Source organism: Homo sapiens, chromosome 16 (genome assembly GCF_000001405.40).
Source record: "Homo sapiens chromosome 16, GRCh38.p14 Primary Assembly".
In the NCBI taxonomy this organism is placed as follows: domain Eukaryota; kingdom Metazoa; phylum Chordata; class Mammalia; order Primates; family Hominidae; genus Homo; species Homo sapiens.
In genome coordinates, this window is record NC_000016.10 from 19,057,651 (window position 1) to 19,083,227 (window position 25,577).

Sequence of the window (25,577 nt, forward strand, 5' to 3'; positions counted from 1 at the left end):
TTTGGCTGGTGCCACCTGGTAGCACTTCTCTGATCTGACTTAAGTATCTCAGGGACTTCCAGGGGAATACTGTGGACGTCACTGATTTCAGGATCTCCTGGTTACTTGGCCCTCATTTCATCAGCCTTGTCTGAGGAGACTGGATAGGAAACCACCTTCCCTTCATTCAGTGAGGTTGCCTTCTGTTTTTATGAGGGCTTGCCCTCCATTCCATTTGCCCCTCTCCCCAAATATAATAACTTTAACCACCCCCATTTCAGATCTAGAGCTGCACAGAAGACAGAAGCCAGCAGTTGATTTTTTTTTTTTTTTAGGAGACAGTGTCTTGCTATGTTGCCCAGGTGGGTCTTGAGCTTAAGTGGTCCTCCCTCCTTAGCCTCCTGAGTAGCTGGGACACCAGGCACCAGGCACCTTCTACTACACCTGGATTTGATTGCTTTTAATTAAAATGATATTATCAGCCAGGCATAGTGGCTCACGCCTGTAATCCCAGCACTTTGGGAGGCCGAGGCGGGTGGATCACTTGAGGTCAGGAGTTCGAGAGCAGCCTGACCAACATGGTGAAACACCGTCTCTACTAAAAAATATATAAAATTAGTCAGGCATGTAATCCTAGCTACTTAGGAGGCTGAGGCAGGAGAATTCCTTGAACCCGAGAGGCAGAGGTTGCAGTGAGCTGAGATCGCGCCATTGCACTCAAGCCTGGGCAACGAGAGTGAAACTCCGTCTCAAAAATAAATAAATAAATAAAATAAATAAAATAATTTTATCCCAAGCTTGCAAACACTGGGTTTTATTATGTTTTCCCTATTTTACAAATGAGGAAATGGGCTAGAGAGCCTCCACAGTGATCATCCACGTGTTAATTACATGCTCAGCTGACTTTCTCAACCATGTCATTCTCTCTCTTTCTGTCATTCTGTATGTACAAGGCGAACATCTGCAAATTTTAATATTAAAAGTAAAAAGCAAGGCATAAGTCAGATTCTGCTGCCACTGCCAAATAAAAACTTCAGTAGCTGTTTCTTATACCCTCTGCTTGGAAGAGATGAGGGTTTTCTTTATTTTTTGTGGAGACAGGGTCTGGCTCTGTTGCCCAGTCTGGAGTATGGTAATGTGATCATAGCTCACTGCAGCCTTGAACTTCTGGGCTCAGATTCTCCCACCTTAGCTTCCTGAGTAGCTGGGGACTACAGGCTCACGCCACCATGTCTGGCTAATTTTACATTTTCTTTTCCTTTTTTTTAGACGGAGGCTTGCTCTGCCGCCCAGGCTGGAGTGCAGTGATGCGATCTCAGCTCACTGCAACCTTTGCCTCTTGGGTTCAAGGGATTCTCCTGTCTCAGCCTCCTGAGTAGCTGGGATTATAGGCGTCCACCACCACGCCCAGCTAACTTTTGTATTTTTAGTAGAGACGGGGTTTCACCATGTTGGTCAGGCTGGTCTCAAATTCCTGACCTCAGGTGATCCGCCTGCCTCGGCCTCCCAAAGTGCTGGGATTACAGGTGTGAGCCACTGCGCCCGGCCATATTTTATTTTTCTAGAGGTGGGGCTCTCCCTATGTTGCCTGGGCTGGTCTCAAACTCCCAGCCTTAAGTGATCCTTCTGCCTGGGCAAAGCACTGGTATTATAAAATGAGCCATCATGCCCAGCCTTCTTTTCTAACAAGAGTAAAACTGTTCCAAGGAAAAATATGTTGGGTTATTTTTCTATTGGCCTTCAGATGATCCAGACTCCCTTGTGACCTGTCTGTCTTGTGTTGCAGCCTCATCATGTTTTACTTCATTGCCTTAGCTGGAGCACACAAACGGGTGGTCATCCAGCTCCGAGAGCAGCTATCCCTGGTAAGGAAGCATAGCTCCAGAGGGTCATGGCTGGGGACATTTACCCAGGACACTGCAAGGAAAGTGCTGTTTTCCTGGGAGGGAGTGAAATTACTGCAGCCTTCTCTCACCACCACCTCCCCAAAACTCTGCCTTGAGGCCCAGCCGCGTCCAGCTTCATTAATTCACTGATTCATCCATTCCTTCAAGATGTGTATTAAGGGGGATGTGGTGGCTCATGCCTGTAATCCCAGCACTTTTGGGAGGCCGAGGCAGGCAGATTACTTGAGCTCAGGAGTTCAAGACCAGCCTGGCCAACATGGTGAAACCCCGTCTCTACTAAAAATACAAAAAGTAGTTGGGCGTGGTGGTGGGCACCTGTAATCCCAGCTACTTGGGAGGCTGAGGCAGGAGAATCCCTTGAACTCAGGAGGTGGAGGTCGCAGTGAGCTGAGATTGCGCTATTGCACTCCAGCCTGGGTGACAGAGTGAGACTCCATCTTAAAAATAAAAATAAAAAAAGATGTGTATTAAGTACCTACTCTGTGCCTTGTACTATGCTGGGTGCTGGGACGCTTTGGTGAACAAGAGACAAAGCTGCTGGGTAGTTAATAAGATAAATGCTGATTAATTATAGCTTCTATGAAGACAATAAAAACAAGGTAGAGTGACAAGCGGGCTATCAGTTACTGCAGATGCGGCTGTAGAAGGCTTCTTTGAGGAGGTGATTTTTTTTTATTTTTTTATTCAGGACGGGGTCTCACTCTCTCGCCCAGGCTGGAGTGCGATTGTGTGGTCATAGCTCACAGCAGCCTCAAACTCTTGGTCTCAAGCCATCCTCCCACCTTAGCCTCCCAAGTAGCTGGGACTACAGGCGTGCATCACCATGCCTGGCTAATTTTTAAATTTTTTATAGACATGAGGTCTCCCTATGTTGCCCAGGCTGGTCTTGAACTCCTGGGCTCAAGTGATTGTCCCCTCTCAGTTCCCCAAAGTGCTGGGATTACAGGCATGAGCCACTATGCCTGGACCCTAGCTGAGACTTGAATAATAGAGAGAGGAGCCCATTATCTGAGGTCCTATTTAAGGATGAAAGTAAGAGGCAAAGAGCACAGTAAAGAAATGAGCCAGGCACTTCAGGGGGACAGGAGGGAGGGGACAGTGTGGCCACAGGGTGGTGAGTGATGGGAAGAGGCAAGGTGATATTGTAATAGCAACCAGAGTCATCAAGTCACAGTGCCTTGAGGGCTCTGTTTAGAGTTTTATTCTGAGTGGGATGGGAAGCTGCTGAAGGGTTTGTAAGAGTCTACTGTGCATTTTTTTTTTTTTTTGAGACAGAGTCTTGCTCTGTCACCCAGTCTGGAGTGCAGTGCCGCAATTTCAGCTCACTGCAACCTCCACCTCCCGGGTTCAATTGATTCTCCTTCCTCAGCCTCCCAAGTAGCTGGGATTACAGGCACCCACCATCACAACCGGCTAACTTTTGTATTTTTAGTAGAGAAGGGGTTTCACCATGATGGCCAGTCTTTTTTTTTTTTTTTTTCCTTTGAGACAGGGTCTCACTCTGTCGCCCAGGCTGGAGTGCAGTGGTGTGATCTCAGTTCACTGCAACCTCCACCTCCTGGGTTCAAGCAATTCTCCTGCCTCAGCATCCCAAGTAGATGGGATTACAGGCACCTGCCACCACGCCCGGCTAATTTTTTGTATTTTTAGTAGAGACGGGGTTTCGGGGTTTCACCTTGTTGGCCAGGCTGGTCTCGAACTCCTGACCTCAGGTGGTCCACCTGCCTCGGCCTCCCAAAGTGCTGAGATTACAGGCGTGAGCCACCTCGCCTGGCCTAATTTTTGTATTTTTAGTAGAGGTGGGGTTTCACCACGTTGGTCAGGCTGGTCTGAAACTTCTGACCTCAGGTGATCCACCTGCCTTGGCCTCCCAAAGTGCTGGGATTACAGGTGTGAGCCACCTCACCCGGCCTAATTTTTGTATTTTTAGTAGAGATGGGGTTTTACTATATTGGTCAGGCTGGTCTCAAACTTCTGACCTCAGGTGATCCACCTGCCTCGGCCTCCCAAAGTGCTGGGATTACAGGCATGAGCCACCGTGTCCAGCTGTACTGTGCATTTTTTAAAAAAAGGATCGGCTGCTTTGTGGACAAGGGGCTGTGGAGCAGACACAATGACAGACCAGATGAGAGGCCATTACAATAGTCCAGTGGTTAGAATCCTCAGCCCTCAGTCTGGTAGGTAATGATGGTATTTGTTTCCAAATATATTAAATGTACATGTGAACTTATTATTTTTTAGGAAAGTCGTGACAAGTGCTACCTAATCCAGAAACTAACAGAAGCCCAAAGGGACATGAGGAACTAACTAGACTGAGCGTGAAGATGGTGCTGCCTGTTGCTTCTAAGCTGACCTAGTGATTCTGCTGAGCCTACAGAGTCTACCTGGGTTTTGAGTGGACATTTAAAAATATATTTTTCTTGAGTTTAGGCTTTTCCATATGTGCAGCTGTGTTTACCTAACCCAGCCCTTAATTAGGGCTTCAGTGACTTAGAAAAGCAGGGGAAACCCAAGGCTTTGCCTGCAGACCGGCCACTCTGTGACAACTCTACCAAAAACCAACAAGCCATTCAAGCTTTTACAAGAATGAAAGAGCGGAGACGGTAGTTTAGTATTTGAGCCACGAGTTTATGTGCACAAGTGTTTTGGGTTGTGGACTGAAGCTCAGCCTGTTAATCAGACCAGCCCATGAGTGTATAACAAACAGAATTGGAGGCTGGTTTCTTAAACACACACGTCCACATTTTTTAGGGTTGTTTTCCTGTGCTTACAATTTTTAATGCATGTGCCTTTATTTCACAAAACATGTGGCTGGGCGCAGCGGCTCACGCCTGTTATCCCAACACTTTGGGAGGCCGAGGCAGGCGGAGCACCTAAGTTGGGGAGTTCAAGACCAGCCTGACCAACGTGGAGAAACTCCGTCTCCACTAAAATACAAAATTAGCTGGGTGTGGTGGCACATGCCTGTAATATCAGCTACTCAGGAGGCTGAGGCAGGAGAATTGCTTGAACCCAGGAGGTGGAGTTTGCAGTGAGCTGAGATCACACCATTGCACTCCAGCCTGGGCAAAAAGAGCAAAACTCTCCCTAAAAAAAAAATGTAGAATATCTCTTAAGATTTCCGTTATGGTAAAAACCATATGCAATAAATACCTCATTGTAAGCTTACCCAAAATTGATAGATGTCAACCTTTTAACAGAAGAACAGAAGTTTAAGTTATTGTTTAATGTAATCAGTTTTCATTTTAATATCTTTGAAATCTTTTTCAAAGGACTGTAGTTTTGTAATGGACTTTTCAAGCCTTCCTTCCATTGTTTTTCTTCCGTTCACTGGCTCCACACGTTTCCTGGGGAGTAGCCTGGAATTTAAAGTTGGGTGCAGGTTTTAGAAAGCTGTTGCTGTTAACAATAATTCTCCCGGCCATCTCCACTCCACTACTCAAAAATGCCTGAATCCTTGCTCAGAGGAGCAAAGGTATCTTCTCGTCCCTTTCTTACAGCCATTTTCTTGCTTTTCCACAAAGATATTATTTAAAGTGGAATATTTTTGTAACTGGGATACCAATGAGCTTTTCGGTCTTTTCCTGACTTGGTAAGGTTTATGGGTTTCTAAATCTAATAACTACAGTCATACCACCCTGAAAATGCCTGATCTCGTCTAAATCTAATAACTGGTGTCATGGAATTTTGAGTAACCAAAGATTCATTCCAGTCTCACTTAAAAAAATAAATTCTGCTGGGCACAGTGGCTCATGCCTGCAATCCCAGAACTTTGGGAGTCCAAGGAGGGCAGATCACCTGAAGTCAGAAGTTTGAGACCAGCCTGGTCAATGTGGCAAGACCCCGTCTCTACTAAAAGTACAAAAATTAGCCAGGCATGGTGGCGTGTGCCTGTAATCCCAGCTACTTGGGAGGCTGAGGCATGAGAATCACTTGAACCTGGGAGGTGAAGGCTGCAGTGTGCGAGACCGTGCCACTGTACTCCAGCCTAGGTGACAGAGGGAGACCCTATCTCAAAAAAAAAGATAGGTGAAAAGAAAAAAAAAGTTGTAATTGTAAACATTTCTGCCCAGTGCCTTTATATTTATATAACATTTTCACTGTGACCAGACTTGATGATATTCAAGTTTTCTATTTGTGTGTGTGTGTGTGTGTGTGTGTGATGAACACAACGAAAACGTACTGCGTTTTTTTTCCTATTATAAAAGTGATACTGAAATATGCTAATTAATATATTAATTTTAGTTAAATGCTGCTAATATGCATACCTCTTACTTGAAGGTTTTTAATATGTTTTGATAACTTTAATAACTTCAGGTGATGTCTGTATAACTTTTAAAGTGCAGCTCTCTCTAACAAATGTGCCTTACAACTCCTGATTAAACGGCGTCTTGAAGGTTTTAAAATGTGATCGTGTATACTGGAATTCAAAGAGGCTTCTTGTCAGCAGTCAAGTGATGATGGAAAACTGTAATAGTTTGTAAAGTTCCTCTTTGCTTTTTCCTAAAATGAGAGAAAAGAAAGAAGTGTTTAATGTAGTCCTCAGATGAGTGCTTTTAAAGCTCCTTGGCTCTGTTGAAGCCAAGGAGGGTGTATGTGTGTAACTGCCCAACTGGTTCATTTTGCCCGCTGCCTGGATACAGCCCATTCATCAAGACAGAGGAATTGCAGCAGAGGAATTGCAACAGAGAAAGCGTTTGATACATGCAGAGCTGGCTAAACAGGAGACCAGAATATTATTATTACTCAAATCAGTCTCCCTGAAATTTTGGAAACTGGGTTTTCCTGTGTATGTATTTTCTCTCTCTCTCTCTGTGTGTGTGTGTGTGTGTGTGTGTTTGAGACGAAGTCTTGCTCTTGTTGCCTAGGCTGGAGTGCAGTGGGGTGATACTGGCTCACTGCAACCTACACCTCCCAGGTTCAAGCGATTTTCCTGCCTCGGGCTCCCGAGTAGCTGGGATTACAGGTATGCGCCACTACACCCAGCTAATTTTGTATTTTTAGTAGAGACGGGGTTTCTCCATGTTGGTCAGGCTGGTCTCAAACTCCCGACCTCAGGTGGTCTGCCTGCCTCGGCCTCCCAAAGTGCTGGGATTACAGGCGTGAGCCACCGTGCCCGGCCGTGTTTTTTTTTTTTTTTTTTTTTTAATATGTAGTCTCTATTGCCCAGGCTGGAGTGCAGTAGTGCGATCTCGGCTCACTGCAAGCTCTGCCTCCCGGGTTCACCATTCTCCTGCCTCAGCCTCCCGAGTAGCTGGGACTACAGGCGCCCACCACCACACCCGGCTAATTTTTTGTATTTTTAATAGAGACAGGGTTTCATCAGGATGGTCTTGATCTCCTGACCTCATGATCTGCCCGCCTCGGCCTCCCAAAGTGCTGGGATTACAGGCGTGAGCCACTGTGCCTGGCTGTGTTTTTTTTTTTTTTTTTTTTTGAGATGTAGTCTCACTCTATTGCCCAGGCTGGAGTGCAGTAGTGCGATCTCGGCTCACTGCAACCTGGGTTCAAGTGATTCTCCTGCCTCAGCCTCCCAAGTAGCTGGGACTACAGGTGTGTGCCACCATGCCCAGCTAATTTTTGTACTTTTAGTAGAGATGGGGTTTTGCCCTGTTGGTCAGGCTGGTCTTGAACTGCTGACCTCAAGTGATCCTTCCACTTCGGCCTCCCAAAGTCTGGGATTACAGGGGTGAGCCTCCGTGCCTGGCTGGAACTAGTTTTTTTAATGGATAATTTGGTGGGTAGGGGGATGGAATTAGGGAATAGTATGCATTTTTGTTTTTTAAATTTTGTTTTGCCATTATAAAAATACTTGTTTTTTATAGCAAATACAGAGAACATCAAAAGCAACAGAGAAAAAAACTTAAAAAGCAGCACTTATGGGCACGCACTGTTAATCCTGGCAAAATTCTTTTTAAGATAGAAAGTACAGAGGGAGGGAAAAAGAAGGAAAAAGAAGGAAAGAACTTTGGTATTCTAATTTCTTTTTCACTTAATATGTGTTTTCCTGAAGAATCTAGTGTTTTCTCCTGTTATTAAAAGCTCTTTACAAACATTTCAATGGGCTACATAACATCATACAGTTGGATTTTTTTTTTTTTTTTTGAGCCAGAGTCTAGGTCTATCACCCACTCTGGAGTGCAGTGGTGTGATCATGGCTCAGTGCAGCCTCAACCTCCTGGGCTCAAGTGATCCTTTTAGCCTCACAAGTAGGTGGGATCAGAGGCACACACCACCATGCCTGACTAATTTTTAAAATTTTTTGTAGAGATGGAATCTCACTGTGTTGCCCAGGCTGGTCTTGAACTCCTGGGCTCAAGTGATCCTCTCGCCTCAGTCTCCCAAAGTGTTGGGATTACAGGCGTGAGCCACTGCACTCGGACATGATGTTTTGATATTCAATTGTTGCTTAACATTTTGTTTCCAAATTTTCCCAGTAATAAATAATGGGCACATCTATAAATCTTTGTCAACATTTTTTCTCCTTAGAAACAGAGACCTAGGCCAGGCGTGGCGGCTCACGCCTATAATCCCAGCACTTTGGGAGGACAAGGTGGGAGGATCACTTGAGGTCAGGAATTTGAGACCAGCCTGGCCAACACAGCGAAACCCAGTCTCAGCTGGGCGTGGTGGTGTGTGTACCTGTAATCCCATCTACTTGGGAGGCTGAGGCAGGAGAATCGCTTGAACCCGGGAGGCAGAGGTTCCAGTGAGCCAAGGTCTCCCCACTGCAATCCAGCCTGTGCGACAGAGTGAAACTCCATTTAAAAAGAACAAAAACAAAAAACAAAACAAAAAGGAAACAGAGACCTAGAAGTGGTATTACAGCAAAGGTTTTGAACATTTTAAGGCTTTTGAGCGCCAGATTCAGACACTCAGTAGTTTTACATGAGAGTGCTACAACATCCTCACTAAGTAGTATTTGGGTTCATCATAATTTTAAATTATTTTGGTGTGTCAATTTGAACACTAGAGTGATATAAAAACTAAAAACTTGAATTCAATAATTTTACAATTGTATTCCATCTTAAAATATTTTATGGTAAACTTGGATAAAGTATATAAATAATCCAAGGGTGTAAAGTAGAAAGTGAAAGCTCCCTTCTCCCAGTTCCAGCCCCCTGATGTTGCCAATATTAAACGTTGTATATCCTTGCAGACACGCATCTTTGATTTTTGCCCTCATGTACATTACTCATTTAAAAATTATTTCGTTGAGTAGATTCCTAAAAGTAAGACTGCTGTATTATATGATCTTTTTAAAGTATGTTGCTAAATTTCCCCTCCCTTCTCAAAAAATTCCAATTTGCACAAATATACATGCATACATGCACACAGTACATTAAGGTGGATACCAAGGATAAAACATGTTCTCTGTTTCTGAAAATAGAGAAAAGACCGGGAAGAAGTTTAAAGTTGGCTTTCAGCCCACCAATAGAGATAACACTATATAACACCATTAACCATGTGGTGCATGTAATTTAGATATACATATAATTTTATTTATTTATTTATTTTTCAGACAGGGCCCAGGCTAGAGTGCAGTGGCAGAATCACGGCTGACTGCAGCCTCGAGCTACCGGGCTCAAGCTATCCCCCCACCTCAGCCTCCCGAGTAGCTGGGACTACAGGTGTGCTCCACCAGACCCGGCTAATTTTTAAAATTATTTGTAGAGGCGGGGTCTCGCTATGTTGCCCAGGCTTACTATTTTAAAGTAGATGTAGGATACAAATAAAAAAAAAAATCTCCTTCCACGTAGGTAAAGCAGGAAATACCGTGCCTTGTTAATAAGTAATTCCCTCATGATCCTTTTCCCCAGGAACTTGGGTGAGAAATCATAACCTTGTCCTGATCTTTCTAAACAGCAATTTAGCATTTTCATCTCCCTGGCAACCCAAGGCGCCTTGGCCTTGGTCTTCCGAGTGATTGACAGTGACCCCACCCAATAAAATCTTTTTATTTGTCGTATCTAACCAATCTAACCCCTAGCGCAGAGCTAGGGGGCGTTCCCACCGGTGCGCGGGCGAGCTGAGCCTTCCTTACGTCTGCTGTGCGTCATCAGTCCGAGCCAAGGGCACTATTGGCCAGTTCCGTTCAACGAAGTGGTTGCTTTTTTTAGTTCCGGCAATGAGTTGCGCCGGGGCGGCGGCGGCTCCCCGCCTTTGGCGGCTGCGCCCGGGGGCCCGGCGGTCCCTCTCAGGTAAAAGGAGGCGCGCAGTCACAGTCCTGCGCCGGTCTAGCGAGCTAGGGAATTTTCGCTTGAGGTTTGGGTCGAAGAGGTCACGGGGGAGAGGTTCGTAACGTCACAGGCCTGCGACGGAGCGCGACTGCGTGACTTCGGCCTCCGGGGCGCTGGCGGGCGGGGCGGGGTCTGTAGTTAGCGGCGAGAGTGACAGGAGGACAGGGGTTGTTTCGGCAGTGACGCCTGGGGAGTGACGCAATTGCACCCCTGTGCAGTGATGTCACGGCAGGTGCGGCCAGCGTTCCGAGTCGAGGACAGTTGGCGACACTGAAAATTCAGCGTCTCCGGGAGTCTCTCTCTTTGTAGTCTTTGCCCAGGGCCTTGCCAGGCAAAGGGTAGCCCGACGACCAGCAGCCTCCGCTACTTCTGGGCGCTCGCTAGAAATACAGATTCTCGGGCCCCACCCCGACCTACTTGGTCGGTATCTGTGATCTGTGAACAGGACCTTTAGGTGATTTGCATGCACTGTAAACTGTGAAAGCCATCAGTGTAGTGGAAGGAGCATCGAATTTAGAGTAGAGAGACATGGTTTTGGACCCTGGTTCCTGCTTTCCTTGTTTCATCTGTGCTGCCTTAGAAAATTGTCATGAGCCCGGGCGCGGTGGCTCCGGCCTATAATCTCAGCACTTTGGGAGGCCGAGGCTGGAGGATCCCCTGAGGTCAGGAGTTTGAGACCAGCCTGGCCAACATGGTGAAACCCCGCCTCTACTAAAAATACAAAAATTTGCCAGGCGTGATGGCAGGTGCCTGTAATCCCAGCTACTCAGGAGGCTGAGACAGGAGAATCGCTTGAACCCGGGAGGCAGAGATTGCTTTGAGGCGAGATTGCACCACTGCACTGCAACCTGGGCGTCAGAGCGAGACTTTGTCTCCCCCGCGCAAAAAAAAAAAAAAAAAAGAAATTTCATGAAGTCGTTTTCTCAACGTTAAATTACCGTGTACCACTTTCGGGATTTTTGCCTAATGGCAGTACTGCTTGAACTTTTGATTACTAGATGTGTTTTTTTGTATAGCTATGTCCCATTTAAAAATTAAATTAATTTCCTTGAAACAAAATCCTTATGGTGAATGGGAAGCCAGTGCCACTTGCCACAAATGGGTGAGTAATCATTAAAAAAAAACAAACAAATTAAAAAGTTATGAAATTGTATTAAATACTGTCTTTCTGTTACAAAGGGGAAATTAGCAAGTGTTGGGAAAGTGTTAAGGCTATACCAGCTGTAAATGGAGTTATCTTCCTTAATGAAAGAGATTGCAAGAGATTTTGAAAGAGTACCCCTTACTACATGGGGTTATTTGCTGCATATCCATAAGCCACTTAATATTTTGTAGGTACCACACTGGCATGTTTCACACTTTGGGAAAATATGGACATAAAGTGATGCATTTGAGAGCTAGCACCGAGCCTCAATTTTACTTTAAAGTATATGGTAATGCAGGCAAAACTCCGAGGGTTGTTGAATGTGAATTTTAATGCTGCTCTGTTCAGCCAGTGAGCATAACAGAATAAGACTCATTTCTGTTTATAAAGTTACTTTGCTTCTTATATCTTATTTTATCCTCATAACTCAGTAAGAAAAGTTTATTATTGTATGTTTTCCCTTAAAAAGGAAAGAGCCTGATTATTGCCTTTTTTTTTTTTTTTTTTTGAGGCAGAGTCTTGCTTTGTCGCCCAGGCTGGAGTGCAGTGGCGCGATCTCAGCTCACTGCAACCTCCGCCTCCTGGGTTCAAGTGATTCTCCTGCCTCAGACTCCCGAGTAGCTGAGGCTGCATGCATGCACCACCACGCCTGGCTAATTTTTGAATTTTTGGTAGAGACGGGGTTTCGCCATGATGACCAGGCTGGTCTCGAACTCCTGACCTCAAGTGATTCTCCCTCCTTGGCTTCCCAAAGTGCTGGGATTACAGGCGTGAGTCGCCGCACCCAGCCAATTTTATATGTAAGAAATGTCGATCCTGATTTTCCCAAGGCTAGTGTTAGAGATGGGACACATGTTTTATGCTTCTTTTTTTCTTTTTTTGAGACAGAGTCTCACTCTGTCACCGAGGCTGGAGTGTAATGGTATGATCTTAGCTCACTGCAGCCTTTGCCTACTGGGTTCAAGTGATTGTTCTGCCTCAGCCTCCTGAGTAGCTGGGACTACAGGCACGTGCCACGATGCCTGGCTAATTTTTATATTTTTGGTAGAGATGGGTTTTCACCATTTTGGCCAGGCTGGTCTTGAACTCCTGGTCTCAAGCAGTCCACCTGCCTCAGCTTCCCAAAGTGCTGGGATTACAGGCATGAGCCACCACACCCGGCCTATGCAGTCTCTTTAGTCAGATATGCTCAGTGAGATGGAGAGGATCATGGCGAGGAGTAGACCAAAGCTGGGTCACTATGCTTCAGAACTTAGGTCCACGCTTCTTTGTTAAAAGTGTGACATTTACAACCCCATCTGGTAGAAGATTTCAAGTTCAGAGCCACCCCAAATTTCACCAACCCACCTCACTACCTTGTGTCCAAAGCACTCAAGCCTTTGTCATGAAAGAACCACATATGTATCTAAAATGAATTTTTTCCACATATTCGCTGGCTGTTGAAGTTAGCCTAAGTGAAAAGAAGTTTGCATAAAAGACATGGTAGTCACGGCTAAGAGCCCTAAAACATTACAAAGTGATACCAATGCTGGCTGGGCATGGTGGCTCACGCCTGTAATCCCAGCACTTTGGGAAGCCAAGGTGGGAGGATTGCTTGAGCTCAGGAGTTCGAGACCAGCCTGGGCAACATGGTGAAACCCCGTCTCTACTAAAAATATAAAAATGTAGCTGGGCATGGTGGCACCTGCCTGTAGTCCTAGCTACTCTGGAGTCCTAGCTGCTCTAGAGGCTGAAAAAGGAGAATTGCCTGAGTCTGAAAGGTGGAGTTTGCGGTGAGCCAAGATCGCACCTCTGTCTCCAGCCTGGGCGATACAGTCAGAGTCTGTCTCAAAAAAAAAAAAAAGTGATACCAGTGCAGATCGAAGCTACCATTACAAACTAAATGACCCTTAGGTCACTATTTTCCGTATCTGCAAAATGAGGTGAATACACCTTACACACCTAAGAATGCTGCAAAACTCCTCTCTGGCAGGGAAAAAAACCTTTTGAGTTACTCTAATATAAGGCTCAGAGAATATAATTAAGGTGTTAAGGTTAGGAGATTTATTTTTAAAGATAAAATATAATCTGTCATGAAGAATTTACATTTTGAAGATGAGAGTTCATTTGAATTGATTTTGGAGCATAATGAAGTGAAATCTAGGCTCCAAGGCTAGTCTCAAAATCGAATGCCCAACGGTGTGGGGTTTTTAATTTTTTTTTCTGTTTTTGTTTGTTTGTTTGTTTTTGTTTTTAGACAGAGTCTCACTCTGTTGCCCAGGCTGGAGTGCAGTGGCACGATCTTGGCTCACGGCAATCTCTGCCTCCCGGTTTCAAGCTATTCTCCTGCCTCAGCCTCCCGAGGAGGTGGGATTAAAGGCACACGCCAACACACCCAGCTAAATTTTGTATTTTTGGTAGAGATGGGGTTTCACCATGTTGGCGAGGCTGGTCTCAAACTCCTGACCTCAGGTGATCCATTCTCCTTGGCTTCCCAAAGTGTTAGGATTACAGGCATGAGCCACCGCGCCCGGACAGGTGTGGATTTTAAGAGAACTTAGTCTGTGGTTCTCAGCCTTGGCTGAAGAGAAGACTTATGCACAGAGCTTCTAAACAATATCAGTTCAGAGAGCCCCCTCCCAGAGATTGACTGGGGAAGAGCACGGTGTTTTTGAAAGCTCTGTATGGGCCTCTCCTGTACAGCCTGGGCTGGGGCGAAGTGGGCCAGAGGGTTGGTGAACTGGAGAACCATGCTCATCTAGAAGCGGTTGCCATGTTAACTGCCTGGTAAGAAGGTAGGCTCAGCATTTCCAGATCTTCATACACTTAAAGTGAAACCAGAAATCCAGATCTTTAGGTAAAATCCTCTGTTTTAACACTGTAGGTTAAACAGAGTCCGTTTATGGGCACGCCTGGCCCATGGGGAACTGATTTGTGACCTCCATCCCAAAGTGCCCTTTCTGCTGTCTGTAAAAGGAACATCTGGATTTTACCTGATCATAACGAAGAATAAACACTTGCATTTCAGCTTATGGAAGAAGAACCAGTGTCAGATTTCGCAGTTCAGGAATGACTTTAGACAATATCAGTCGGGCAGCTGTGGATCGAATAATCCGGGTGGATCATGCAGGCGAATATGGAGCAAACCGCATCTATGCCGGGCAGATGGCTGTCCTGGGTCGGACCAGCGTCGGGCCAGTCATTCAGGTGGGTGCTTCTTCATCTCCCTCACCCTGGTCTACTGAATGGGCAGATCCAAAGGACTTCAAGTAATGAATCATGGGAGGTCAAGCGTTCCCTAGGGAGATGCCATTGTCTCCAGGAGAGCGAAGGTTGGTTCTTGGTGGAGATGGGGAGCAAAAAGCATATTGTTCTTTTTATGGATAAAGCACAGAGAGACATCTAGTACATAGACAGGTATGCGGTATATCTTTGGTATCAGTACTCCATGGCGGGGGCAGGCAGTAATGAAAAAAGGTTAAGAATCGCTCAGCACAGCAGTCAACTGTGCTGAAATGTTGCAGCCCTGCCCCCTACCGTGCCAGAGAGGTATTGTATCCCAAGAGGCTATGGGAGGACCTGAAATTTGTAGTTACACAGACCTGGTTCACATTTTGGCTCTCTCCCACCTCCTACCTGTGCGACCTTGAGGATGGCACAGGACTTCTCTGGGTTTCCATTTCCGTATCTGCAAAATGGCCTCATAATGGCCTGGGTTTGGGTAAGGAACCGGGTCTGGCCCATAAAGGTCAAGTTAGTACAAGTTAAATGGCCTGCCCTGAACCCTTGGGCAAGCTACTTAGCCTCTCTGTGCTTCAGTTTGTTGTGTATACTGGCGCAGTCATAGTGTGTCCTTCACAGGGATTGTGTGGATTGAATGAATTGCTTGCATGAAGCTATTTGATGGCCCCTGGCACTTAGGACGTGCCATCTAAGTGTTAGCTGCAGCTAGCATTCTCCCTTTTTCCTCTGATGTAAATAATATTCAGGGCCGGGTGTGGTGGCTCACGCCTGTAATCCCAGCACTTTGGGAGGCCGAGGCCAATGGATCGCTTGAGCCCAGGAGTTTGAGACCAGCTTGGGCAATGTGATGAGACTCCGTCTCTACGAAAAATACAAAAATTAGCTGGGTGCAATGGCTCACACCTGTAATCCCAGCACTTTGGGAAGCTGTGGCGGGTGGATCACCTGAGGTTAGGAGTTTGAGATCAGCCTGGCCAACAAGGCAAAACCCTGTCTCTACTAAAAATACAAAACAAATCAGCCAGGCATGGTGGTGCATGCCTGTAGTCCCAGCTGCTTGGGAGGCTGAGGCAAGAGAATCACTTGAACCTGGGAGGCAGAGGTTGCAGGGAGCTGAGATCGCACCACTGCACTCCAGCCTGGGCAACAGAGTGAGACTCCGTCTCAAAAAAACAAAAAAAACCGCACACACACCACAAAATTAGCCAGGTGTAGTGGCATGTGACTGTAATCCCAGCTAATTTGAGAGGCCGAGGTGGGAGGATCGCTTGATCCTGGAGGTTGAGGCTGCGGTGAGCCATGAGCTTGCTACTGCACTACAGTCTGGGTGACAGAGTGAGACCCTGTCTGGAAACAAACAAACCACAACAACAACAAGATGATGCTATTCTAGTAATCTGGAAGGAAATTACACAACAGCCAATGTTCTGCCTTCCTGATTTTGAAATGGGTTAAACATGTCATTTCTTATGTGTGTAGACCCTTGTCATTTACTGGGCACATTGTGGGCCTGAGAGACTTCTGCTGCAACCATGGCTCATGGCAGTCTTAACTGGAATTGAGATAATAGACTGTTTTGTATTCTTGGTGCTCTCTTCTCTTTGTCACAGATTCCTTTAGTCTGATGTTTTACTGTTTCCATTGACGTTTTGAGGGGAATGGGGGAGACAGCAGTTCCATCATTTTCTCCGTTTCTGCTTTGCTCCCTGTATGCCGCTTGGATGAGTGGGAGGCCTCTATGGAATGCTTGCATGTCTTTATTTTTATGTTTCTTGCAGAAAATGTGGGATCAAGAAAAGGACCATTTGAAAAAGTTCAATGAGTTGATGGTTACGTTCAGGGTCCGGCCAACAGTTCTGATGCCCTTGTGGAACGTGCTGGGGTTTGCACTGGGTACGTGTCTCTCTAGAAGAGCTTATGCAAGCTTGGGGATCTAGGATGATTAAATCCTTCAGGTATCATGTTCACAATTCTTGCTGTGTCCTCTTATGACCTCATTCTGTTTACTTCATATTTTTCCGAGGTTAAATTGACTGCCTTTTTTTGTGTGTGGTTAAATTTATTTAAGATAGAATCTTAATGTCAGTACTTTAAAAAAAAAGGCCGGGCGTGATGGCTCACACCTGTAATCCCAGCACTTTGGGAGGCCGAGGCGGGCAGATCATGAGGTCAGGAGTTCGAGACCAGCCTGAACAACATGGTGAAACCCCCGACTCTATTAAAAATACAAAAATTAGCCGGGCATGGTGGTGCGTGCCTGTAATCCCAGCTACTTGGGAGGCTGAGGCCAGAGAATCGCTTGAACCTGGGAGCTGGAGGTTGCAGTGAGCCAAGATTGGCCCACTGCACTCCAGCGTGGGTGACAGAGCGACACTCTGTCTCAAAAAAAAACCAAAACAAAACAAAAAAAAACAAACCAGAGCCAGGGTCTCACTCTGTTGCCCAGGCTGGAGTACAGTGGTATAGTCGTAGCTCACTGAAACCTCAAACTCTTGGGTTCAAGTGATCCTCCCACCTAAGCCTCTGAGCCTGAGTATCTTGGACTACTGGCGCATGCCACCACGCACAGCTCTATTTTTTTTGTAGAGATGGGGTCTCGTTATGTTACCTAGGCTGGTCTCAAACTGCTGGCCTCAAGCCATCTTCCCTCTCTGGCCTCCCCGAAGTGCTAGGATTACAGGCGTGAGGCACTGCACCTGGCCTAATGTCAGTATTATAAATAGAAAATACAGTAAAAATAAACAACAGAGAAAAAAAGCTAGTAGAATTCAGTTGCAGCCAAATACTGTTCCCTGACAACGATTCTCAACCTGAGATCTGTTCACTCTTTTAAAAAACGGAGAAGAATAAATGGTATAAAAGATCAAAGATATACTCACCCCAAATGCTGACTTCTCTTGGCCACGGTCAGGATAAAACAGCATTGAAAAGAGAATGGTTTTTCTTAACTGTGTAATTCCAGGTTTAACACTGGGATCCAGTGTCTCCTAAAACAGTGGTTCTCCCTCAGGGTGAGTTTGTCCCCCTGATGAGGACATGTGGCAATACCTAGGGACATTTTTTTTTTTTTTTTTTTTTGAGATGGAGTCTTGTTCTGTCACCCACGCTGGAGTGCAGTGGCGTGATCTTGGCTCACTGCAACCTCCACCTCCCGGCTTCAAGCGATTTTCCTGCCTCAGCCTCCCAAGTAGCTGGGATTACAGGCGCCCACCACCACACTGACTAATTTTTGTATTTTTAGTAGAGACGGTTTCACCATGTTAGCCAGGTTGGTCTCGAACTCCTGACCTCAGGTGATCCGCCTCGGCCTCCCAAAGTGCTGGGACTATAGGCGTGATCCATTGTGCCCAGCCCTCGGGACAGTTTTGATTGTCAAAACTTAGTTGGCACTGCTGGCATCTAGTTGGTAGAGGTCAGAGATGCAGTTAAATATCCCACCATGCATGGGACAGCCCCTGTCACAAAGAATGACCCGGCCCGATGTCTGGTGCAGAGGTTAAGAAGCCCTGGCCACAGATGGTCTCCATTACCGGTCATATCTGTCTCTTACTTTTCTGGTCTGGGTTTAACAATCCCAGGGGCGGGGACCGCCTTGCTCGGGAAGGAAGGTGCCATGGCCTGCACCGTGGCGGTGGAAGAGAGCATAGCACATCACTACAACAACCAGATCAGGACGCTGATGGAGGAGGACCCTGAAAAATACGAGGAACTTCTTCAGGTATTTATCCGTGCTCTAGAACGGGGCTGCTCAAGGAGGAAAATGGCAGATAGCAATTGGGTAAGAGGAAAACATGTTAGAGATTGTTAGGGGATGATGGGGGTTTAGAGGCTCAGGTCAGTGCCTCAGTTTAAAGGTGAGCAAACTGAGGAACAGAGAGGTGAACCCGTCTGCCCTGGCCATACAGCACAGACAGAGCTGGGACTAGAACCCTTGTCTCCTTTGTCTTTTTTCTTTTTATTTAGAGATGAGGTCTTGCTCCGTTGCCCAGGCCGGAGTACAGTGGCACAGTCATAGCTCACTGCATCTTCAAACTCTTGGGTTCAAGTGATCCTCCTGCCTCAGCCTCCCGAGTAGCTATGGGACTACATACATAGCCACCACTCACAGCTAATTTTTTTTTTTTTTTTTTTTTTAAGAGATGGGGTCTCACTATGTTTTCCAGGCTGGTCTTGAATTTCTGAGCTCCAGTAGTCCTCTCTCCTCAGCTTCCCAAAGTGCTAGAATTATAGGCATGAACCACCACATCCGGCCAGAACCCTTGTCTCTTGAGCCCTGTCCTGTTCACTTATTTTATTTTTAATTTTTAAAATTTTTTGTAGGCACAGTCTCTCTCTATGTTGTCCAGATTGGTCTTGAGCTCCTGGGCTCAAGTGATTCTTCTGCCTCGGCCTCCCAAAGTGCTGAGATTACAGGTGTGAGCCACACCACCTGGTGCTGTTCACTTTTTTTTTTTTTTTTTTTTTTTTTTTGAGATGGAGTCTCACTCTGTCCCCAAGGCTGGAGTGCAGTGGTCTCCGCCTGCATTGCAGCCTCCGCCTCCCGGGTTCCAGCGATTCTCCTGCCTCGGCGTCCCAGGTAGCTGGGATTACAGACATGCACCACCACGCCCAGCTAATTTTTGTATTTTTAGTAGAGACGGGGTTTCACCATGTTGGCCAGGCTGGTCTGGAACTCCTGACCTCAGGTGATCCTCCTGCCTTGGCCTCCTAAAGTGCTGGGATTGCAGGCGTGAGCCACCGCGCCCGGCCCACTTCTTTATCATTGGTAGATTCTGAGCAGATGCTGTGAGCAGGAACCCTTTAGATTGAATAAATGAATAGATATCCTGAGATAATTTTCCACAGCAAATAAGGGAACTGTTTAGTTTTTTAGAGTCTAAATCTGAGGTTGGCAAACTATGGCCTGTGGCCAGCCACCTGTTTCTTTAAATAAACTTTTATTGGAACACAAGCACGTCCATTTGTTTGCATGTCTCCGGCTGCTTTTCTGGTTACAGTGGCAGAGTTGGGTAGTTGCAACAAAGTATTTACTCTCTGGCCCTTTAGAGGAAAAGCTGGCCTCCCTGTCTTAGGCCATAATAAGAGGCTTTAGCCTCCAAAATGAAATGGAACAGCAGGAGAGTTGGAAGGCTAACTTGCTTTGGTGTCTTTTTATTTAACCAGCTGATAAAGAAATTTCGGGATGAAGAGCTTGAGCACCATGACATAGGCCTCGACCATGATGCAGAATTGGTAGGGCCCTACTGTTACCTGTTCTGCTTTGGGACTCCTTATTTGGGAGGCTGAAGGGGCAGGAGGTTTCTGTTGCCAGAAAAATACATTTTAAAGTGACAGCGAAAGGGAGAGAAAACCAATGACGTTGCTTTGACAAAAAGCAAGCAAACGCATTATTGCTCCAGATTGGGAATCTCCTTTCTTGCTTTATGCCTTCTCCTTTTCCCCAGAAGCTTTTTTTTTTTTTTCCCAGACACAGTCTCACTCTGTCTCCCATGCTGGAGTGCAGTGGTGCAGTCTTAGCTCACTGCAGCCTCCTCCTTCCAGGTTCAAGCAATTCTGCCTCAGCCTCCCAAGTAGCTGGGATGACAGGTGCATGCCACCATGCCTGGCTAATTTTTGTATTTTTTATTTTTAGTGGAGACCGAGTTTTCACTGTGTTGGCCAGGCTGGTCTCGAACTCCTGACCTCAGGTGAGCTGCCTGCCTTGGTCTCCCAGGAGCTTCATTTCCTTTCCTGTGAGAATCTGGATGACTCCAATGCTTTGGCAGTAGTAGCAGAGGCATTCCGACCTTTTGAATAGCTTTCTTTGAAACTAAAATAAATTGTTCCTTAGATCTATTTCTTATCCAGAGAAATCCAAAGCCTGCCCTGCCAGCCCTGAATCTTACAACCGAAAATGAGCACATAACATGTTTCTTTGTTTGCTTATTGTTTTTAACAGGCTCCAGCCTATGCCGTCCTGAAGAGCATTATCCAGGCCGGATGCAGAGTGGCGATATATTTATCAGAAAGATTATAAAGTGTGTCCAGTTTTGCCTGTCTATAAAAGATGATAGTAATTTACCAAGTGACATTTGCAGAGAAACAGGTGTACAGTTATCGTTGTACTTTTGTACAATGTGAATTTTGTTAATAAATTATAAGGTTTGTTTTTTTTTTTTTAAACTCTGCAGTGTTGATTTTTCTCTGGGTTGTTTTTTCTGCCATGAGACCAACAGGTCACCAGCCTTGTTCAAGTTACAGCAAACGAAGCTGGGCCTTGTTTGGTCTCATACTTAATTTTCTTTTATATACATGTTTTTCTTTTACATGCATATATATATATTTTATTTTATTTTATGTTTTTTGGAGACAGGGCCTCGCTCTTTTGTCCAGGCCGGGTCACAACTCACTGCAGCCTGGACCTCCTAGCCTCAAGCAATCCACCCACCTCAGCCTTCCAAGTAGCTGGGACTACAGGTGTGCACCACCACAGCTGGCTAATTCTATTTTTTTATAGAGGCGAAGTCTCACTATGTCGCCAGGCTGGTCTCTAACTCCTGGGCTCAGTGATCCTCCCGTTTCGACTTCCCAAAGTGCTGGGATTACAGGTGTGAGCCACTTCACCAGGCCCATTTTCTCCTAAAACTTCAAGGACAAATCATTAATAATGTAACAGGAATCTTTAGGAGAAAAAACAATTTGGTTTACTGATAACAAAAGATAATTGGAAACATGAGAGTATTTGAGATTGGCCAAGCAGAACTATGAAGTCCATCAAGTAAGTCAAAGATCATCGTTTCTGTTTTGAATTGTGGGTGATAATGGGTGGGAGAGTGCTACAGTCTGTATGTCTGTGTCTCCCTAGAATTCATACGATGAAATCTTCACTCTCAAGTTGATAGAAGGTGGGGCCCTTGGGAAGTGTGAGGTCATGAGAGTGGAGCCCTCATGAATGGGATCAGTGCCTTATGAAAGGCCCTAGAGAGATACCTCATCCTCTCCACAGTGTGAGACTTCAAGGGGAAGTATGAGACTTCTCTGAGGAAGCAGACCCTTCACAAGCAAAATCAGCCAGCACTTTGATCACGGACTTCCCAGCCTCTAGGACTGTGAGCAATAAATGTTTGATGTTTATAAGCCACCCAGACTGTGGTATTTTGTTATAGCAGCCTGAACAGACTAAGACGGGGGTGTTGCTTCCATCAAAGGATGTACTAAGTTGTGGATTATTTGTGAAATTGAATTACAACCTTTTCCTTAAGGTCTTTTACCACCTCCCCCCCAAAAAAATCCCCCAAAACTGATTCAGATTTTCATACTTTAATGAAATATTTTATAATTTGCAAATTTTTAAGTAATTTATGAAAAACCTAGATCAGTGGATCTCCTCTCTGGCTGCCCATTAGAATGTCCTGTGGAGATTAAACTTTTTTTTTTCAGTTTATGGACCAAGAGTTTTGATTTATTTAGGGTGGAGTTCAGGATCAGAATGGTTTCAGAAGCTCCCAGGTGATTCCGGAGTGAGTTGGAGCTGCAAGCCCCTGAGCTAGATTATAAGATGCTTCTGGGAAAGAACCACATTTTAGGAATTTGCTTCCCACCCAGTGCCCTGCATTTAATCAGCACCTGATGACTTGGCAGGACTTGCCCCACCAGGGTCTGGCTTTGAAGGGTAGTGGACACCAGGATCCTTTGGATTAATCCTCTGCCACCTCTCTCTTTTCCTCAACCGAGAGTGAATTTATGTAATTGAGTGAAAGTCTACGAATCATAATTGTAATAAATTAAGGCTGGGCATTTGTTTGAAATTAGATAGGATAAAGCCAAAGGTTTGAACAAGTTGTGGATGGTTTGTAAAAATTAATCTTACAAAATAAATGCTGTGTGTGAACACGTTGATTAAATTCAAAAGGGTATTATTTGGTTTTTCTGTAAATTGAACCTTGAAATAAAAGCACAACAAGGTTTTCTTAAGGTACTGATCTGCTCTTTAACAAGAATTTGTAAAGGGTTATAAAAGGTTTACAAGAATCTCACCTCATGGTCAAACTAGTTAAGATTGGATAGATTTATCTATAAGGTATTATTAAAAATTGGGGATGACATTAATAGTAGACTGATGCAAGGATGACATTTGACTCTGTCTTGAACAAGATTTTTATGTAATAGTAAAGGATAATGAAAGATTTTTGTTTGCCTTGCAAATAAACTACCAAAAAAAGAAGGGAAAGGCAAGAGACAAATTGTTTGGAAAGTTGTCTTCCCTTTTAATGGGTAAAGGTTTTGTGCTTTTTAAAAAAGTTTTTGAGTCATCATTTTGGCTAATGATAACCTGGAATTCTATTTTATAATATCAAGTGTTTTAAACCTTTAATATGTTCAGTAGGCTTCCCCAAATCGAACTTTAGCTTCAAGATTGTCTTTTTTGACCCCTAACTTTTGGATGCCATAGAGGGCCCCTGGATTATTTGACATGTTTAATTACATGGGATTGCCAAAATAAGAATAATGTTTAATCTTATTCAGGTTACATTTTAGTGAATAACATTAATATATATATTAATATATGTTCCAAAATTGTATAAGATTTCTAAAATTCTAATATCTGAGTATATGATATCAATTATAATTAGGGTTATTATGTTAAGTTATTGTAAACCACAGAAATAACGAAATTTCTTTGTCAATTGTGTTTTTGACTGTGACTGTCTAAAGACATCTTGTGATTCACAGACAATCGTAGTCTTGTTTTGATCCTCTTCAAAAGGTGGTTTATAATCAGCTGTAGAACTTAGGTGCTCTTAAATGCATATTTCCAATATCTTTAGATTGTGATATTAGAATAAAGGAAAAACATTCAGGACTCATGAAGAGCTGAAATATTCATGAATATCAAGCAGAGCAAGAGTTAACTGAATGGGCTGAACTAATAGAAGACATGTAATCTGTTTAACTTTTTGCTTAAAACTTTGCTGATGTTTTGTTTTTCAGAGTCAAGAAAACTTTTATTTTGAGCTATTTACAGCTTTTAACAATTGAGTAAGGTATACTCCTGTGAACAAAATTTGGAGTGTATTTGTTCCTCTGCTGGTTTCTCTAGAATTCAGAAACTATTTGTGAGTATTCTTATGGCAATGTAGTTATTTGCATAAGTGCAACAAGAATCCATTTTCTTTTGCAACAGGACACAATTGGAGAAACTGGTGGTTTTACCAGTTTCTGATAGAAGGGTGTGCTTCCCTTTAAGGAATCAAGCTTGACTTGCAGAGCCAAAAAAAAGGAGAAACTGGCCTCATACCTTGTCTACACAGTCCTTGTACAGGGCTCCTAACCTGTGATGAGTAAAGAATGTCACTTTCTAACAGGTCCAGGAGCCCCAAGTTATCTTGGGACCTCAAGAAGAGAGGAATTTACCCAACTCATAGGTATTGGAGGGTACAAACCCATTGCTGGGCTTGACTTTAAAAAGTCTTTTCTGATATTCCTTATGGAACAGAATTCCATCAGAGCCAATTTTAAAAGCATATGTGAAAAATAATTATTCTTGCTGTACTTTATGCAAATAATCAGGCCAAGTATAAGACTAAAGTTTATTTTGCAAACAATCCTATTATGATTTGTTTTTAACAAAAATGAAGACTGGAGAGTTTCAAAACTTATCACACTTGTCATTAAATTCTAGTTTTATTAGTTGTTTTTAAGTTTTTGTCTGTATTTTAGACTAACCCTACTTATTCTGTGAACCAACCAGTGATCTCTGGCTGAAGCTCAGAAGAAACAAGGGATGGTTAATATAGAAATCTGGATCTGGATCAATATTCTAGAGGAGGCGGAGGTTGCCGTGAGTTGAGATCATGCCATTTTACTCCAGCCTGGGCAACAAGAGTGAAACTCCATCCCAAAAAAAAAGAAAAAAAGAAAACATGTTCAAACCAATCCTTGTACATGAATGCTCATAATAACTAAAAGTGGAAACAACTCATGTCCATCAACTGATGAACAAAATGGCAATATACCCAAACAAGGCAATCTTACTCAGCTATAAAAAGGAATAAAGTAGTGATACATGATACAACATGGATGAACCTTAAAAATATTATGCTTGGGTCCAGAGTTTCAGTATGGGAAGATGAAAATAGTTCTGGAAATGTATGACGTTGATTATTGAACAACAATGTGAATGTACTTAATGTCAATGGAATGTATTCTTAAAAATGGTTAAAATGGGGCCAGGCACAGTGGCTCATGCCTGTCATCTCAGCACTTTGGGAGGCCAAGGTGGAAGGATCGCTTGAGTCCAGGAGTTTGAGGTTGCAGTGAGCTATGAGAGCACCAGAACAGTCTAGCCTGGGTGACTTTGAGAAGAAAAAAAAAAAAGTTTAGGCCAGTTGCAGTGGCTCACGCCTGTAATCCCAGCACTTTGGGAGGCTGAGGCAGGTGCATCACGAGGTCAGGAGTTCAAGACCAGCCTGGCCAAGATGGTGAAACCCCGTCTCTACTAAAACTACAAAAATTAGCCGGGCGTAGTCCCAGCTACTCACGAGCTGAGGCAGGAGAATCGCTTGAACCCAGGTGGCAGAGATTTCAGTGAGCTGAGATCACACCACTGCATTCCAGCCTGGGCAACAGAGTGAGACTCTGTCTAAAAAAAAAAAAATAGTTAAAATGGCAAATTTTATGTATATTTTACCACAATTTTAAAACATGCTAAGTGAAAGAAGCCAGACACAAAAGGTCACGTATTGTATTATTCCACCTACATGAAATGTCCAGAATAGGCAAATCCATAGAAACAGAAGGTAGATTAGTGGTCGTCTAGGGCTGGAGGGGCGGGGATGGGGAGAAATAGGGAGTAACTGCTAATGGATACAGAGTGTTTTTTTGGGTGATAAAAATGTTCTAGAATCGGTGATAGTTGCACAACCTATACTTAAATTTACTGGATCATACATGTTAAAATTGTGAATTGTATGGCATGTAAATTGTCTTAGTCTGTTTTGTGTTGCTATAACAAAATACCCAAGACTGGGTAATTTATAAAGAAAAGAGATTTATTTATCTCACAATTCTGGTGGCTGGAAGGTCCAGGATTGGGCAGCTGTGTCT

General features: G+C 44.4%; 2 protein-coding genes and 1 long non-coding RNA gene across 30 annotated transcripts in view, besides 2 other annotated features; 2 read left to right on the plus strand and 1 right to left on the minus strand.

The window, feature by feature from the left end:
• The window catches only part of TMC7 (transmembrane channel like 7), an 80,009-nt gene extending 73,717 nt beyond the window's left edge, over positions 1 to 6,292 (plus strand). For 8 of the 9 annotated variants that reach the window (NR_136733.1, XM_047434662.1, NM_024847.4 and 5 more), the window contains 2 exons: positions 1,766 to 1,844; positions 4,128 to 6,292. Coding sequence is in view for 8 of the 9 variants with exons in the window: in XM_047434662.1 (XP_047290618.1) it covers positions 1,766 to 1,844; positions 4,128 to 4,193 (145 nt within the window). In the remaining variant the exon portion in view is untranslated. Of the gene's footprint in view, positions 1 to 1,765; positions 2,358 to 4,127 lie in introns of those variants that run through there. The other variant, NM_001300732.2, reaches the window with a different exon arrangement.
• Positions 5,104 to 10,041, minus strand: COQ7-DT (COQ7 divergent transcript). 4 transcript variants are annotated; one of them, NR_119379.1, is made up of 4 exons: positions 9,931 to 10,041; positions 8,529 to 8,626; positions 6,155 to 6,389; positions 5,104 to 5,245 (listed from the first exon to the last, which is right to left on the minus strand). It is a non-coding gene; the product is annotated as a COQ7 divergent transcript (long non-coding RNA). The 4 variants fall into 4 exon arrangements; NR_119381.1 differs by lacking the exon at positions 8,529 to 8,626; NR_119380.1 differs by lacking the exon at positions 8,529 to 8,626 and having other exon boundaries at positions 9,901 to 10,041.
• Positions 9,964 to 25,447, plus strand: COQ7 (coenzyme Q7, hydroxylase). 17 transcript variants are annotated; one of them, XM_047433496.1, is made up of 8 exons: positions 9,964 to 10,087; positions 14,278 to 14,456; positions 16,271 to 16,385; positions 18,071 to 18,210; positions 19,656 to 19,724; positions 20,431 to 21,249; positions 23,463 to 23,587; positions 24,223 to 25,447. In XM_047433496.1, the coding sequence occupies exons 1-6, from the start codon at positions 10,015 to 10,017 to the stop codon at positions 20,506 to 20,508; spliced, it is 654 nt and encodes a 217-aa protein (XP_047289452.1). In that variant the 5' UTR covers positions 9,964 to 10,014; the 3' UTR covers positions 20,509 to 21,249; positions 23,463 to 23,587; positions 24,223 to 25,447. The 17 variants fall into 17 exon arrangements, 14 of the variants coding, with proteins under 14 accessions (XP_047289452.1, XP_047289451.1, XP_047289450.1 ...); XM_047433498.1 differs by lacking the exon at positions 9,964 to 10,087 and adding an exon at positions 10,997 to 11,228; XM_047433495.1 differs by having other exon boundaries at positions 23,463 to 25,447.
• Positions 9,988 to 10,147: a silencer, noted in NCBI's record as "silent region_7240". NCBI's record gives its function as "represses an Ori minimal core promoter by ATAC-STARR-seq in GM12878 lymphoblastoid cells {active_cell/tissue: GM12878}" and the evidence as "EXISTENCE:reporter gene assay evidence [ECO:0000049][PMID:35858748]".
• Positions 10,178 to 10,327: an enhancer, noted in NCBI's record as "active region_10523". NCBI's record gives its function as "activates an Ori minimal core promoter by ATAC-STARR-seq in GM12878 lymphoblastoid cells {active_cell/tissue: GM12878}" and the evidence as "EXISTENCE:reporter gene assay evidence [ECO:0000049][PMID:35858748]".

Coding starts and splice junctions, on each gene's coding strand:
- COQ7 (XM_047433495.1), top strand. CDS start 10,015: ATGAGTTGCGCCGGGGCGGCGGCGGCTCCCCGCCTTTGGCGGCTGCGC. Junction 18,211..19,655: donor AATACGAGGAACTTCTTCAG/GTATTTATCCGT, acceptor TTATTTAACCAG/CTGATAAAGAAATTTCGGGA. Junction 19,725..20,430: donor TCGACCATGATGCAGAATTG/GTAGGGCCCTAC, acceptor TGTTTTTAACAG/GCTCCAGCCTATGCCGTCCT.